Source organism: Homo sapiens, chromosome 3 (assembly GCF_000001405.40).
Source record: "Homo sapiens chromosome 3, GRCh38.p14 Primary Assembly".
NCBI classification, from domain to species: Eukaryota; Metazoa; Chordata; class Mammalia; order Primates; family Hominidae; genus Homo; species Homo sapiens.
Window position 1 is genome coordinate 39069951 of NC_000003.12, and position 15485 is coordinate 39085435.

Here is a 15485-nt window from a genome sequence, read left to right on the forward strand (position 1 = left end):
TAGAATAATTCTGATGCAGATGAGTATATGCATTTATGGTGCATAGGGGCTAAAATAACTAAAAACATTACCTGTGTAAAGCAAAAGGAAGCTTTGATATCAAATGCTTTTTGCCAGTGTATTAAGTGGAAAATTTGCTCACAGTGGGTCTGACTTAGGGGCACATTTTGTCAGTTGACTATGTAGATATAGTTGATAAATTTAGTTTTCTAACATAATGCTCAGAGTGAACATTTCAAAGAAAAACATTTTGGTAATGTTATACATTAGCTCTGTTGGCCACGTAATTTGTGAATTATAAATCACAATTCTGTTCTGTAGCAATGGAAAATACTTTTTCATCAATGTAGATAATAAAAAACAAAAACTGAGCATCATTTTATGGGTATGACATATGTCTACCATGTACCCTTGACTCAGCCATTTTTTTTCCAGAATGCAGTGATAAGTCAGAGATAACTGGAATTGATTGTGATAGGGTTAGAAAAGGGCAGGTAGAAAGATGATGAGGTGAGAAACACCATCAGTTTCTTTTCCTGTGGAAGTTAAGACTTTAGACATGAAATTGCTAAAATTTCACGTCTAAGAAATTGCTTTAGACATCAATCAGAGAAGCCGTCGCCTCCAGAAATGAACAGAAGGTTTGGAAACTAGTCTAAGGAAGGAAATCATTTTTCAGAACCAGGAGAAGAAAGATTTAAAGATACCTGTGGAGGTATTTGGAGATGTGAAGGATCTTTTTTTTTTTTTTTTTTTAATACTTTAAGTTTTAGGGTACATGTGCACAATGTGCAGGTTAGTTACATATGTGTACATGTGCCATGCTGGTGCGCTGCACCCACTAACTTGTCATCTAGCATTAGGTATATCTCCCAATGCTATCCCCCCACCCCCACAACAGTCCCCAGAGTGTGATGTTCCCCTTCCTGTGTCCATGTGTTCTTATTGTTCAGTTCCCACCTATGAGTGAGAATATGCGGTGTTTGGTTTTTTGTTCTTGCGATAGTTTACTGAGAATGATGATTTCCAATTTCATCCATGTCCCTACAAAGGACATGAACTCATCATTTTTTATGGCTGCATCGTATTCCATGGTGTATATGTGCCACATTTTCTTAATCCAGTCTATCATTGTTGGATATTTGGGCTGGTTCCAAGTATTTGCTATTGTGAATAGTGCCGCAATAAACATACAGGATAGGATTTCACTTTAGTCCTTAATTTGCTTATCTGCAAAGTGAGAATCATAATATATAGTTTATATAGTTGGTGAGAGTGTGTGTATATGTATATATATGTGTTAATAATAAGTATTTTCTTAACTGTAAGCCAGGGCATTTCCTAGAGCTCTCAAGTTCCTTTGTGGCCTCATTTTCACATGACTGTAAGAATTACCCAGTGCAGTCAGCTCCTCACTGTTTTGCAGTGTAGCTGCAAGGCTGCACTTGAGATGGTTGCCCGTGTCTCTTCAGTTAGCTTTGCCAGGATTGGGCGGGATCATATCATCTCCATGGTTTCCAGAAGGGGGCTATGGGCCTGGCAGACCTTCTAAAGCTCTACCTGTCTGCTCCATCTCTTGTTTCCTATCTATGCAATTATGAATGTGCTTCTATAAAAGATGATTTAAGTATCACGTGTACAGTTAGAAATGCACTTCATCTGAAGTCAGCTACAGTCATTGTAAGCAGAGGAAATATTGTGGTTCTACTTTAAAAACTGCCTGTTAGTCTCAGAGTGCAAACTTGATAGGTATCACTCTTCATCTAGTTTCTCTTCCACCCATTTTCCTTATTGGCAACTATGGACTAAATGTAAAATTACCACCAACAACCAAGCATATTTACGTTAGTGAATTGATCAACAAAAAACTATAATAACTGCTTATTTGGGAAAAAGAGATGAGAAAAAAAGAAACTCTTACTGATTAATGAATTGACCAACAAAAAACTATAATTACTTATTTGGAAAAATGAGGTGAGGAAAAAAGAAACTTCTACTTACAGATTCTTGAATTCTTGTAATATGGAAGAGGTGGTTATCAGTTACTGGGCCAAAGTTTATATTGCATCCTGCTAAATTGCCCTGTGAGCTTGTAATATAGGGTACCTGGTGGCTTTGTAAATCAGGAATTGGCAGTAAGATACATATCTTATAGGCCAATGAATCCCATGAATATCTACCTGTTGCCTGATTCTTTTGTTGTAGAATAAGATTCTTATTTACCAAATTTATTTGAGGTTCTCCCTAAGGGAGTTCTGCCTGTAAAGAGATCAGCATTGCAGTTGCTTTGATTGGTGCTAACATTATTGGGCAGAGCCACCTATCTTTTTATTCCTTTTACTTAGGCAATTCATTGCTTGAGGAGCTGGGACAACCTGCCATCTTGATTTGAGTCAGTCATGTCCTTGTATGTCACTCAAAGGGTTCTTTTGGTAATACAAGTCTGCTGATCCTAGCTTATGGGTCTGAGGGTCTCAGAGCATCAGGCCACTTATTGCCCCAGCTTATGTCGTCCACTTGGCTGATCTCTGTTGGCACTTGAGATTGTGTGTTAGTGACCATCCCGGGAACACTCCTGTTGGTCAGCAGCAACTTGGCCTCAGTACACTGGTACTTCCTATCTTCATTGGCAGAAACAAAGAGCACCTGATTAGGGCTACAGACTATTCCACTAAATCTGATTTAGCAGAATCATTGAAGGACATTCTGTCCTAGTCCCAGGAGTTACCTCATAATGAACATCTTCATGTTTATCTATGTTTTTCTAGTGGAAGGATGGAGGCAGTGGAAATGTTTTGATGACTCCTCCAGCTCCTACAAGATCTCAGGCACTATAATTCCTATAAAACAGGACATTCTTTAATTATACTACCAAATGCTGCGAAGAAGTTGGCCAACATAATACTTTTAAAGTGGTTGCTTTGTTGGGGGATCTGCTTTTCCGTAGTCTTAGAATACTGATTACCATCAGAGATTACTTGGCGTTCTATATCAGGGTTGATAAAACTGTGTTTCCTTATCTGCTTCCAACTGTGCACCCTTAGTTTGGGACTTATCCTTTCCTGTTACAAGTTGCCCCAGGCCACGAGGACTTCTAACCATCATATCTTACTTTCCTTGTCCTCTTTAAGTTGTCAAATCTTACTCTGTAGATGCATAGTCTAGGATCTGAGGGATCAAAGCTTTACTAAAAGCTTTGCCACCTCAGAATAACACCTCTTCCTGGAATGGGGAGCCCCTCCTTGGCCCCTACACCATCAGATTGCCACATTTCTCACTCACATATGTTGCAGATTTGCTTTAACTTTGCTCCTGACGTTTGCTTTATTGGTTAGTTTCTTGGTTCCCTTGTAAACTAGCTGGAATAGGTTATTAAACTACTGATGCTCCTGGCATCTTGTGGGAGAGTTTCCTAGTATGTGTTCATTTAATTAAACATGCTTAGAGTTCTCAAGGGCCCTTAAAGTCATGGGGCAGGCCAGTAAATTTTTATTCCTGAAGGCCTCATGTATTTGGGCACCTTCCAAATCTCCAAGCCCACAACTGTCTTTCCTTCTTTGAAGCTCTGCTTACTTAACTTCATACTCCAGCACCAGCAATTGCTTTTTCCTCCGGGCCATTCTTTTTCCTAAGGAAATCAAGTTTTTATACTCTTCTGCAAGTCACCACAGTAACATGCTGTGTGGATGCAGGGTGTCTAATTCAGTCTTTTTCCACCTGAGCACACTCACAGTGTGCTCAGCCCTAATTTGTGTGTCAGCAGCTTCTATGTAGTTGACTCTCTTGAGCCATCAGAAATTGTCAGAATTGCCAGTGTTAACTCACTTGAGGCTCATATGGAAAGTGTCCAACGCAAAGAGTGAATGGTAAGCCTGAGACTAGATTTTGTTTCTGATTCCCGTCAGTAGAATCCAAGAGACCTGGCCTCATCAGGAATCCAGAGCCATGAGACAGAGGTGTAACCCAGGACTTCAAAAGGCTTGCTGGCCTAGTGCAGTGTTTGTCAAAGATAGTGAACATCAGAATCACCTGGAGAGCCTGTTAAAGCACCAGTTGCTGGGTTCCAACAGAGTTTCTGCCTTGTTAGCTCTGAATGAGACCCAATAATTTATATTTTAACAAGTTCCCAGGGGACGCTGATGCTGCTGGGACCACACTTTGAGACCCATGGGCCTAGTGCATACAGCTACCTTCATTTCCACTGCTTTCAAACTCTATCTCCCTTAGTAGTAGATAATGCGAGTAGGGCTTGTCTACAGGATTGACCAGAAATCAACAAGTGGCCAGGTAGAGAGGACAAAGGCAGTTCTGCTCAGAGATTTCTCCTGCTGGAGTATCTCTAAGCATAATGAATAGGTGTCATTCATCTAGTTTCTCTTCTATCCATTTTCCTTATTGGCAACTATAGACTAAATGTAAAATTACCACCAACAACCTAGCATATTTACATGAGTGAATTGATCAACAGAACAACCGTAACTACTTATTTAGGAAAAAGAGATGAGGAGAAAAGAAACTTTTACTTGCAGATTAGTGAATTGATCAACAAAACTACCCTAATTACATATTTGGGAAGAATAAGGAATTTTCCCAAAATTACATAAATTTGGTCACTTTAGCCTGTGGTGCATGGTTGTCAAGCCTTTATCAGAGGCAGAAACACAGGTTAATAGAGTCGTGTGTTTGACAGTGTGGACTCGGGAGAAGTCAAGTGCAAAGCACAAGAAAGCAGGAACTTTGTGGCAAGTTCTAACTTTGCCTTTCTTTGTTTGCAGTGCCTGTCAGGCAGTTCTGATGGGACAATTCGCCTTTGGTCCCTTGGCCAGCAGAGATGTATAGCAACATACCGAGTCCATGATGAAGGTGTTTGGGCGCTGCAAGTCAATGATGCCTTCACACATGTGTATTCTGGTGGAAGGGACAGGAAGATTTATTGTACAGACCTAAGAAACCCTGACATTCGGGTGCTAATTTGTGAAGAAAAAGCACCAGTTCTCAAGGTATGTCATATGTTAATATTTTAGTTTTATAATTAAGGTTGTTACATGTGTTAGCCAAATAGAGCAAAAGCTATATTAAAACATGACTCAACTGCAGGGTTCGGAGGGGGAAGGTTTGTAAAAAAGATATTCCATCATGAGCAGAACTTGACAGGGTAAGGAAGAGTAGGCATCTGTCTGGAGGGAAGAGTGTCAGTATGAGATACTCTGGGTCAGTTCTGGGGCACTTTTGTGTTTTGCTTTTTTTTTTTTTTTTTTTTTTAACAGTTTTGTAAGTCGCCTATAGAAGAAAGTGTGACTTCTTGGTACATCAGTGATGCATGGCTCTCCCACTGATGAATTGTAGTGAAATTGTCTCATACTTGCTCCTGAGCTTGCCTGGCTTTCCTGAGCAGTCCTTAGGAAAAGAAATATGAGGAGTTAAGGTTATCTGTGAGCAGACAACAAAGCAGAGGAAGGTCAGGAAATGTGTCCATGGTTTCAGGAGTAAGGAAGTGGAAGAGTACTCTCCTGAAAGAAGAGGGAGCAGGCTGCTTCATACTCCAAACCACCACTGCCTCAGAGCAGCCCTAACCATCAGGATCTGCCATGTGGGTCAAAGGGTTCTTGAGGAAGTCTTTGGAAGCCATCCATATGGACACCTGCTGAAAGTGAAGGCTGTACTGAAAAATGGCCAGTCGACATGTTCAACCTCACCGATAGTCACAGAATTTCACATTAAAACAACAGTGAAGAAGTTTCCAAAATTTTTTTTTTTTTTTGAGACGGAGTCTTGCTCTGTTGCCCAGGCTGGAGTGCAGTGATGCGATCTCGGCTCACTGCAAGTTCCACCTCCCAGGTTAATGCCATTCTCCTGCCTCAGCCTCTGGAGTAGCTGGGACTATAGGCACCCACCACCATGCCCAGCTAATTTTTTTTTGTTTTTTTAGTAGAGATGGGGTTTCACCGTGTTAGCCAGGATGGTATCGATCTCCTGACCTGGTGATCTGCCCACCTCGGCCTCCCAAAGTGCTGGTATTACAGGCGTGAGCCACCACACGTGGCCGGAAGTTTCCAAGTTTTAAAATGGAGGCAGAAAAATACTACTACTCCCTTTTCTCAGAAATCACCTAAAAGGAAAATGAGAAACAGAACTGCAGATACCCATTCTCTACGAAACTAAGTGACATCTGAAACCTCAGACTGTTGTGTAGGAGGAAGGGCTGAAAAGAGGAATGGAGGTCAAATGCGACGGTTGGGAGGATGTCTGCAGTCTAAGAATTCAGACAAAACTGGCCAAGTACGGTTCTTTAAAATAGATGGCATATCCTAATGGACCGAACCAGTAATCCTTTAGAGAAGCAAGGAGTCAGAGCTGAATTAATAATCATACATATACAACATGTGTGCAGGCAGCAGGCTGATGTGATGGGGAGACAAACTTGGAGGAGAAACACTCTGCATTATGAGTTCTGCAGCTGCCTGGATCTCTTGCCGGGATGTTGGCTGTGGGGGAAAGACTGAAAGAACTTGGCACAAACATAATTATATGTTATAAGGAATATCATCTTGAACTGAGGAGGATTGCTGCTAGCTAGGAGTCCTGCCCTGTTCCCATCACTGCAAACCTGCGGTTTCCTGATGTGGGAAGAATAGTGGATGAATGTAGAGTGATTCCGCTTGTGTAATATATACATGCACATAAACATATTCTTATATGTGCAGTATTTTACATACAGAAGAATATACAGTAAGCTATTCCCAGGTGTCCCGTCCTTAGGCGAGGGTTATTTTCACTTTTACTATGTTGTTAGGATGTTTTTTACTTCAGACATTTTCAAAGTAAAAAGAAATTTATTTCCTTGTTACTATAGAAACATAAAAACTGGAGTAACAAGAAGAGAAAATTATGGAAAGTCTTTATCCTTTTGACTGTATCCATTCAAGTACCTCAAATTGACCACACTTAAAATTATTGGCCACTGTTTTAGGTGAGAAATTACCCCATTACACTTTTATAGGGCTATGAATTTATTTAGCAAAGAAAAAGACTCTCTCATTTTTCTGTGCATCCTTAGTTTTTCACACATGCCCAGGTATAGTCACCACAATTGTTGAATGAAGGAGTTGATATTAATAACATATCTAGTCCTGGCAGTTCAGAAGAGTTGACATTCCACAAAGCAATATTTTTGTGCTTTGTTTTCAGATGGAGCTTGATAGATCAGCTGATCCTCCTCCTGCAATTTGGGTTGCAACAACTAAGTCTACAGTAAATAAATGGGTAAGTGAGCTATTAACCTGGCAAAGGTTTATAAACATGTATTTTGTTATCACAGACCTGTAGACGCCAGTTGCAAATGCTCAGTGTGGCCCTAACTCTAGCATGCTTTTGGGCAGGGGCAAAAACCTGAAAGCCCTGTGAATGTAGGTAGAATCCTAAAGATCATACTAAAATTAAGATAATAGTCAAAATGACTATTCTGACTTCTTTGTCTGGAGCCAAGATACATGTTCCATGTCCTTAGAATAGACACTGTTGCCTGGTAAAACCAGTAAGTCTTAGTACATCTTCTGACCTCATGAAGCTACATTTGAAGATAGGTAGCCCAAGTACCAACAAGGCAGGGAAACTCACCAGGATTCAAATTTGGTTAAACATAAGAGAAAGCAGAAAATTGTGCTTTCAAATTAGTTTTCTTTTTCCTCATAGCATGAAGAACAGGGATAGAGATAGAGGATAAACAGAAGTCATCCAAAGTGCACCGTTAATTCTTAAATCTTAATTTAAAAAGACTTAAGTTTTCTTGCTTACCAGACTATCTGTAGGTAACAAAAGAGAAGGTGTTTGCATTTATTCCTGTTGACATGCAGGTCAAGTGTTCTTTCTGTATACTTATTTTTTAAATGTTGTATATCTTGTGTTAATTTCATCATGCCAACTTATGACCAATACAATTTTACCTGGAAGAGCACTCCTGCTTTCATGCATAGTTTTCTCTCCCAAAGACAATATTCCCTTCTTAAAATTTGTTTCTTTCTAAACGATGATAGATAATTGTACTGTGACCAAATATTTTTCGGTTGATGTAGTGGTTGTTGAGGTTTTCTTGTTTGTTTTTTGACTTTATTTTTCTTGCCACTTTAAACAGGCTGGCAAAGCTTGTAGAGCATAACATGATCAAATAACAAATTTTGTAATTTTAGACTTTGAAAGGAATTCATAATTTTAGAGCCTCTGGAGATTATGACAATGACTGTACAAATCCTATAACACCTCTTTGTACACAACCTGACCAGGTTATTAAAGGTAAGAAAATGGAAGGTACTGTACCCCTTATTGAAGTTAGCGATAGTTACTTAGAGATTGACAAAAATCAAGACAATGACCTTTCTTTAAATATAATCCTGATGTAAACAAAAGATAATACATTGGTTTATTTTTAATATAAGGAAAAGGTTTTTTTTTGTTTGTTTGTTTTGCTTTTTGTTTTGTTTTGTTTTTTTGAGATGGAGTGTTGCTCTGTCACCCAGGCTGGACTGCAGTGACGGGATCTTGGCTCACTGCAACCCCTGCCTCCCGGGTTCAAGCCATTATCTTGCCTCATCCTCCTGAGCAGCTGGAATTACAGGTGTGAGCTACCATGCCCAGCTACTTTTTATATTTTTAGTAGAGATGGGGTTTCATCTTGTTGGCCAGGCTGGTCTCAAACTCCTGACCTCAAATGATCTGCCCGCCTCAGCCTCCCAAAGTACTGGGATTACGGGCGTGAGCCACCACGCCCAGCCAGAAAAAGTTATTTTAAAAAATGCTGTTAATGGGCCGGGCGCGGTGGCTCGCCTGTAATCCCAGCACTTTGGGAGGCCAAGGCGGGCGGATCACGAGGTCAGGAGATCGAGACCATCCCGGCTAAAACGGTGAAACCCCGTCTCTACTAAAAATACAAAAAATTAGCTGGGCGTAGTGGCGGGCACCTGTAGTCCCAGCTACTTGGGAGGCTGAGGCAGGAGAATGGCGTGAACCCGGGAGGCGGAGCTTGCAGTGAGCCGAGATCCCGCCACTGCACTCCAGCCTGGGCGACAGAGCGAGACTCCGTCTCAAAAAAAAAAAAAAAAAATGCTGTTAATGACTTTTAAAGTGGACTTTCTTGAGTCAGTTTATTTGCCTAACATCAGAATAGCCATGATAAAGCCAGTAACCACTTCATAAAATACATAGGATTTAATATTGTACTTAGATATGAGGCAGAAAAGGACAGATATGATCCTCAAATTCTACATGCTGCTGCTGATTATGGCAAAAAAGCAGTATATGTTTAATGTCAGAGTTTGGGATTAGAATTTTGTATGGCACATTCATTTGTTCATGCTGTTAAACCTTTAGAATATTCATTCAGGAAGCAAAAGATGGGAAACCAAAGTTAATGCAAAATGAGACTAATACAGAGACTTCCTGTCATCATTTTGACTTTTCCCAGTGGATAAAGCTGTTGTCCCTCAACAATTTTCCACTAGTACCCCCTTGACATGAAGAGCCCTTTAATCCATAATGTATTATTAAAATCAGATAGTTTTTCTTTGAATGTTTATAAATGGACATAAATAATTTATGGGACTTGAATTGCTTTAGATATAATTATATAGTCTTTAGGTTTGCCTTTTCCTTTCTAGTAGCTAGTACAGTTTATGTTCCTGTTAGATACCAGTTAACAATTGTTACCACACCATGAATTTAAATGTAGAAAGATTGTTTTACCAATTGTGTTTTTTTTTCCCATTAGGGGGTGCTAGTATTATTCAGTGCCACATTCTTAATGATAAGAGACATATATTAACCAAAGATACCAATAATAATGTGGCATATTGGGATGTATTGAAGGTGAGTATTTTTTTTGGGCTAAATATAGGTTGTTAGATTGTATACCCCCTTTATTTTTTATTTTTTGTATGTGATAAGATAATATAAATTAAGATGTAATTGCAGTAATACTTTATGGGGTGGTATATACTTTCTTATATGAATATTAGATAAGATCATAATTCATCTTTTTAAGTAAATAAACTGTTTAAATGGAATCATTTTCTCTGGTTAGTGTATTGCAGACAATCTTATATGCTGCCTTACCTTAAAAGTCTCATCCTTGTAGCTATTGACATCTTAAGCCAGATAATTATTTGGAGGTGGAGGAGGGGGCAGGTAGGGGGCTATTCCATGCATTGTAGGATGTTTAGAACATCTCTAGCCTCCACCCAGTAGTTGCCAGTAATACCCCTCCCTCCCCCTAGGTGTGGCAACCACAAGTGTCTCCACATGTTGCCAGATGTTTGGAGGGAGGAAGAATGGTGTAAAATCACCCTAGATGAGACACACTGGAGTGCACACAATAAGGTTGGCTGTTTCTTAGGATTTATAGACATCACTATGAGCATTAGTTACAACTCTGGGTCATGTTACAATAACTCCTTCTGGGACAGTTGAAATGCATGAAGCTATTCAATCACATTCCAAATAGCAGTGAAGCATTTGTAGGCAGATTAAAAAGTTAGTCTGCTTTTATCATTCTCACAAGTCTCTCTCTTAGTGTTGTTGGTATACTTGTTCATTTGTTCAACAGATATTTCCTAGATGGAATGACTGTCATGTGCAAAGAACCATGCTTGAGGGTCATAAATGATGAAAAAGTCTTTACCTTGATCCCCTTTGGTAGGAGGGACAAGTGGAATGGGAAAACCTTATAGATAAAGAAGGAACAGATTTCAGGATAGCTTATGGATGAGGGAAGTCAGGAGAGCTTCGTGGTGGAGAAATCATTTGAACAAGGACTTAAAGGTTTCCAGTAGATGCATAATGGGAGTAGAAGGAAGAGCATTTCAGGAAAAGGAAATGAATGGCAGAGGCACAGGAAAAGGATGGTATGTGCTTATTTGGGGCAAGGTGAGCAGTTTTGTTTATTTGGAGACCAGAGTAAATATAAGGAAGTAACAGGGGTGTAAGATTGAAAAATGACATTTAGGTCATTTCCCAAAGAGCCTTAAGCTGCAGGACCCAAAGTTGGCCTTTCTTTTGTACTCCTAGAAGAACCTTAGATAATTTTAGAGCAGGAAAATCTCATGTTGAGGGCAGTAGTTGTTAGTGTATGTAATGGGAAACTGAAAGCTGGAAGACGTCATGATTGGAGATCTAAAGGAAGAGACATGAGCACCATAGGAAAGGTTAAATAAATAAATAAAAATAAAGGACGAGACAGGTGTTGAGCTTATTATAAAGGAAGAATTGAAAACAGCTGGTATTTTGGTTAAGCTCCTGGTTATAAAGAAAAGAGATTCACTTAATGAACTAAAGAATAAGACAGGCAAGTTTCTTGCTAGGAAAAAGGGACTGTCACTGAACAGAAACCTTGGCTTGACTACCATTTTTGCTCCCTGTGGGACATCTATGTGGGAAGTCCATTATGAAACAGTTGTTTGGTGAGCATTGCTTCAGAATGAGAGGCTTTAGTTCTTTGAGTAGAAAGTTTAGTTGCGGCAAGCTTCAAAAATCTGATTAGTTTTTCTCTACAATAGAGAGATGCCTGTTGGGGGTGGGGGTAGAAACACATTGATTTCAGAGAGGGTTCTCTTGGGGACTGGCAGGATCCAGAACAGCCCTAAGAAACTCATCAGCAGAAATTATTGATTCTTCACTTTGATACTCTACCACAAATGTGTCCCTAACTCTGTCCTGTGGCTGGACTTCGCCTCATGCTGCCCAGGACCTAATTGTCTCCAGAATACCCAAGAGAATCTGATCAGGCCAGCTCCTCTTTGAGAGTTGACCTATCTGTTTTCTGTATATGGGTCTGTTGCCCACTCTTGGTCTGGTTAACTGAGGCCTGAGTAGAATCCTGCTGTCTGAATGGGAGGTACTTCTACTTAGATGGGGCCAGCATACATCATGATTGGCATTTCTGTGTACCTAGCAGCTTCCCATATCTAGACCTTGAAGTTTTGATATCAAATGATCTGGTGTAATAGACGTGGCTAAACAGTGTGGGACAGTCAGGAGTTTTTTAGGAACATTGGCTTGGGAGTTGGACAGAGCTGCATTCTAACCTTGGCTGTGCCAAATACTCGCCAAGTGATCTACGGAATATGCTAGGGAACATCTCTAAAATGGTTTCTTCATTCCTAAAATGTCGGGGGTGCCTATTATTGGTGATGTTGAGAAGCACAGTGTCTGGTACATAATAGGAGGCTGTTGCACTAATACAGGTGAAAGGTGATATTTGTCTAGACTAGGGTGGGAACAAGGGGGATGGAAAAAATCGAATGATTAGGAAAATATTTAGGCCTGTGAACAAGAGTGATACTTTTTTTTTTCTTTTTTTTTTGATACGGAGTCTCATTCTGTTGCCCCGGCTGGAGTGCAGTGGCGCAACCTCAGCTCACTGCAACCTCTGACTCCCTGGTTCAAGCGATTCTCCTGCCTCAGCCTCCCGAGTAGCTGGGATTACAGGCATGCACCACCACATCGGGCTAATTTTTGTATTTTTAGTAGAGACAGCGTTTCTCCTTGTTGGCCAGGATGGTCTCGATCTCCTGGCCTCATGATCTGCCCGTCTTGGCCTCCCACAGTGCTGAGATTACAGGCATGAGCAACCGTGCCTGCCCACAGGAGTGATACTTTAATGAAAGGAGTATGAGGAAAGGAAAAAGCAAGAATGAGTCCCAGATTTCTTGATTGTCCAGTTTGGTGAATGGAAGTGATGTAGGGAATGTAAGATGAAAAACAGGTTATCAGGAGAAAAGGACATGCTGAGAAAGATGTTGAATTTGAGTTTCTGTGGGATATCTGAATAGAGGTGTTTGGTGGGCAGACAGCTGTACAGTCTCATGCACAGTTAAAGAACTGGGCTGGAGAAAAAGGCTCAGCAGTCATCAGCTTGTGGGTTACAGTTTGATGTCATAGGAAATGTCAGAGTTTCCAAGGGACATATGTAGACTGAGAAGAAACTAAGTCATCAGTCTTTCAGGGATGTTGGGAAAAGAGGAAGCCACAATAGTATATGATTTTAAAAAGTTGCGGGGGAGTAAGAAAATGAAGAGCCAGTGGCAGCTCCAGAACTAATTGAGTGTTTCAAGAAGAAGCTTGCGGTTAGTGGCATTAACCTGCTGTGAGTTGATTTAAGATGTGACTAACATCATGGATTTAAATAAAGAGGGTGGCCTCTGGGTAGAGTCTTAAGGGCAAAAGCCAGGTAGAGTGAGTTGAGTAGTGATTTGAAGGTGAAGAAACAGAAAATTTGACTGGATAATCTTTGAAGAAATTTGATTGGAGGGGTAGGCAGGAAGCGGCGGAAACTAGAGAAGATGTAGGAGTCAGAGGGCCAAAGGAAGCTTTTGATTTTGTTTGGTTTTGTTTGGATATTTGGGTATTTTTCAGATGTAAGAAATTTGAGCATATTTCATTGCTCCTGGGAAGAAGCCAGTAGAGACATTCATGGGTAGATGACAATACAAGGTCATCCCAAGAAGCAAGAGGTGAGGGGGACCGGAGCACAGTCAGAAGGGACACCGTTTTCCTTGCACCAGGGAGAATGATAGAGAAAGTTAAGGGGATTCTGTCAAGGCTTCTCTTTGTTTTGAGAAAAAGGAATCAGAGTCATGTGCTGAGGATAATGGGGAAGGTGGCAAGGTCAGAGGTAGAAGAGAGATTTAGTTGAGATGGACTGCAAGACAGTGACCCCAGGGCTCAAGTCTCCAGTAAATGAGGGAGAGTGGCAGGTTGCTAGATGGCAGTGAAGGAAAGGTGTACCGTTTACTGTTGCTAAATGACATAGGCCTCAGAGAAATAAGTTTTTACATGGGAGATGGTAGAGTAATGGTCTCCATGGAGCATCAAGGAACAATGGGATGTGGGAAAATAAGCAGTCCCCCTTTGAGAAGATGGCCGACAACTGGGACCCTCGAAAGAGCCACGTTGCTGTTAAGATGAGGTGGTATATTATATCAATATCAGCACAATTAAATACAGTTTCTTCCCAAATACTATTTTGTGCTTTTTTAATTTAAATTTTTTATAGCAGCAGATTGTTATTTTAAAAAAGGACCACATTCTTTTTGAAATGTATTTTAGACTGTTTCACTTAGACACATGTGAAAATATGTAAAATTTTGAATAGCAAAGTCAGAATCAAGTGAATTCACCACTTAATATTGATCATTATACTTTCTTTTGATGTATAGGCATGTAAAGTTGAAGATCTGGGCAAAGTGGATTTTGAAGATGAAATTAAGAAAAGATTTAAAATGGTGTATGTGCCAAATTGGTTCTCAGTAGACTTAAAAACAGGGGTAAGTTAGCAATTGATACTTGTATGATTTGGGATAATTGAAGATTTTCATTATAGCTTATAATTATTATTAGTTACAGAGTCCTGTGTTTTTAGGTGTGAAAAAAAAAATTTGTGTTAAAACTTAAAATGCAAAATGGAATAAAAAAGAAAAAAACAAAATTAAAAATATATTAAAAAAGAAAAAAATTTAAAAGTTACAAAATGCCTTTGGTATCCCAGGAAACTAAATTGTGTTGTTGCATTGAATCACACAAAACACATTTTGGTTCCTGAATTTATGACTTAGCACTTTAGTCAAATAGTACAAATAAATGAAGGTTTAGAGACTTGTTTGGAGAATATATTCAAATGGGATGCCACTAAGTTTTTTCTTTTGATAGATGTTAACTATTACTTTGGATGAAAGTGATTGTTTTGCTGCCTGGGTTTCTGCAAAAGATGCTGGTTTCAGCAGCCCTGATGGGTCAGATCCAAAATGTGAGTTTAAGTGTCCTTCATTTTTTTCCTCCCTTCTAAAGAGAAGATGAATATGAGCTGTTTTTTGCTAAGTACTTATCTTTGTAAAAGTTCTCTATATTTTGTTGACTATGTCCTAAAAATGTGGTATGTACAAATACCTAATGTATACAAATCATTTTAGTAATTTCATATGGAAATAGCCGTTTAAAGAATCTGATTCTCGGCCAGGCGCAGTGGCTCACACCTGTAATCTCAGCACTTTGGGAGGCCGAGGCGGGTGGATCACGAGGTCAGGGGATCGAGACCATCCTGGCTAACACGGTGAAACCCCGTCTCTACTAAAAATACAAAAAATTAGCCGGGCGTGGTGGCGGGTGCCTGTAGTCCCAGCTATTCGGGAGGCTGAGGCAGGAGAATGGCGTGAACCCGGGAGGCGGAGCTTGCAGTGAGCCGAGATTGCACCACTGCGCTCCAGCCTGGGTGACAGAGCGAGACTCTATCTCAAAAAAAAAAAAAATCTGATTCTCATGTTTGTTTTTAAATAATAGCTGTATCTGAACAACCAAGTAGAATATGTCTTTGCTCCATAGCATCATTGCTTTAAACATTCTAAGATAAAATTTTAGCAGAATTGGCAAAATGACTAAAGTCTTTATTTTAGACATCATTCGCATTGGGTTAAGAATGTAACATCAGAATATGTACAAACTTA

At 39.9% G+C, this 15485-nt stretch overlaps 1 protein-coding gene across 11 annotated transcripts in view; it reads left to right on the forward strand.

The window, feature by feature from the left end:
- WDR48 (WD repeat domain 48) overlaps positions 1 to 15485 on the forward strand; it is a 44649-nt gene that overhangs the window by 17935 nt on the left and 11229 nt on the right. For all 11 annotated transcript variants that reach the window (NR_144401.2, NR_144400.2, NR_144399.2 and 8 more), the window contains 6 exons: positions 4776 to 5000; positions 7189 to 7263; positions 8187 to 8289; positions 9761 to 9858; positions 14205 to 14312; positions 14695 to 14791. Coding sequence is in view for 8 of the 11 variants with exons in the window: in NM_001346225.2 (NP_001333154.1) it covers positions 4776 to 5000; positions 7189 to 7263; positions 8187 to 8289; positions 9761 to 9858; positions 14205 to 14312; positions 14695 to 14791 (706 nt within the window). In the remaining 3 variants the exon portion in view is untranslated. The remainder of the gene's footprint in view (positions 1 to 4775; positions 5001 to 7188; positions 7264 to 8186; positions 8290 to 9760; positions 9859 to 14204; positions 14313 to 14694; positions 14792 to 15485) is intronic.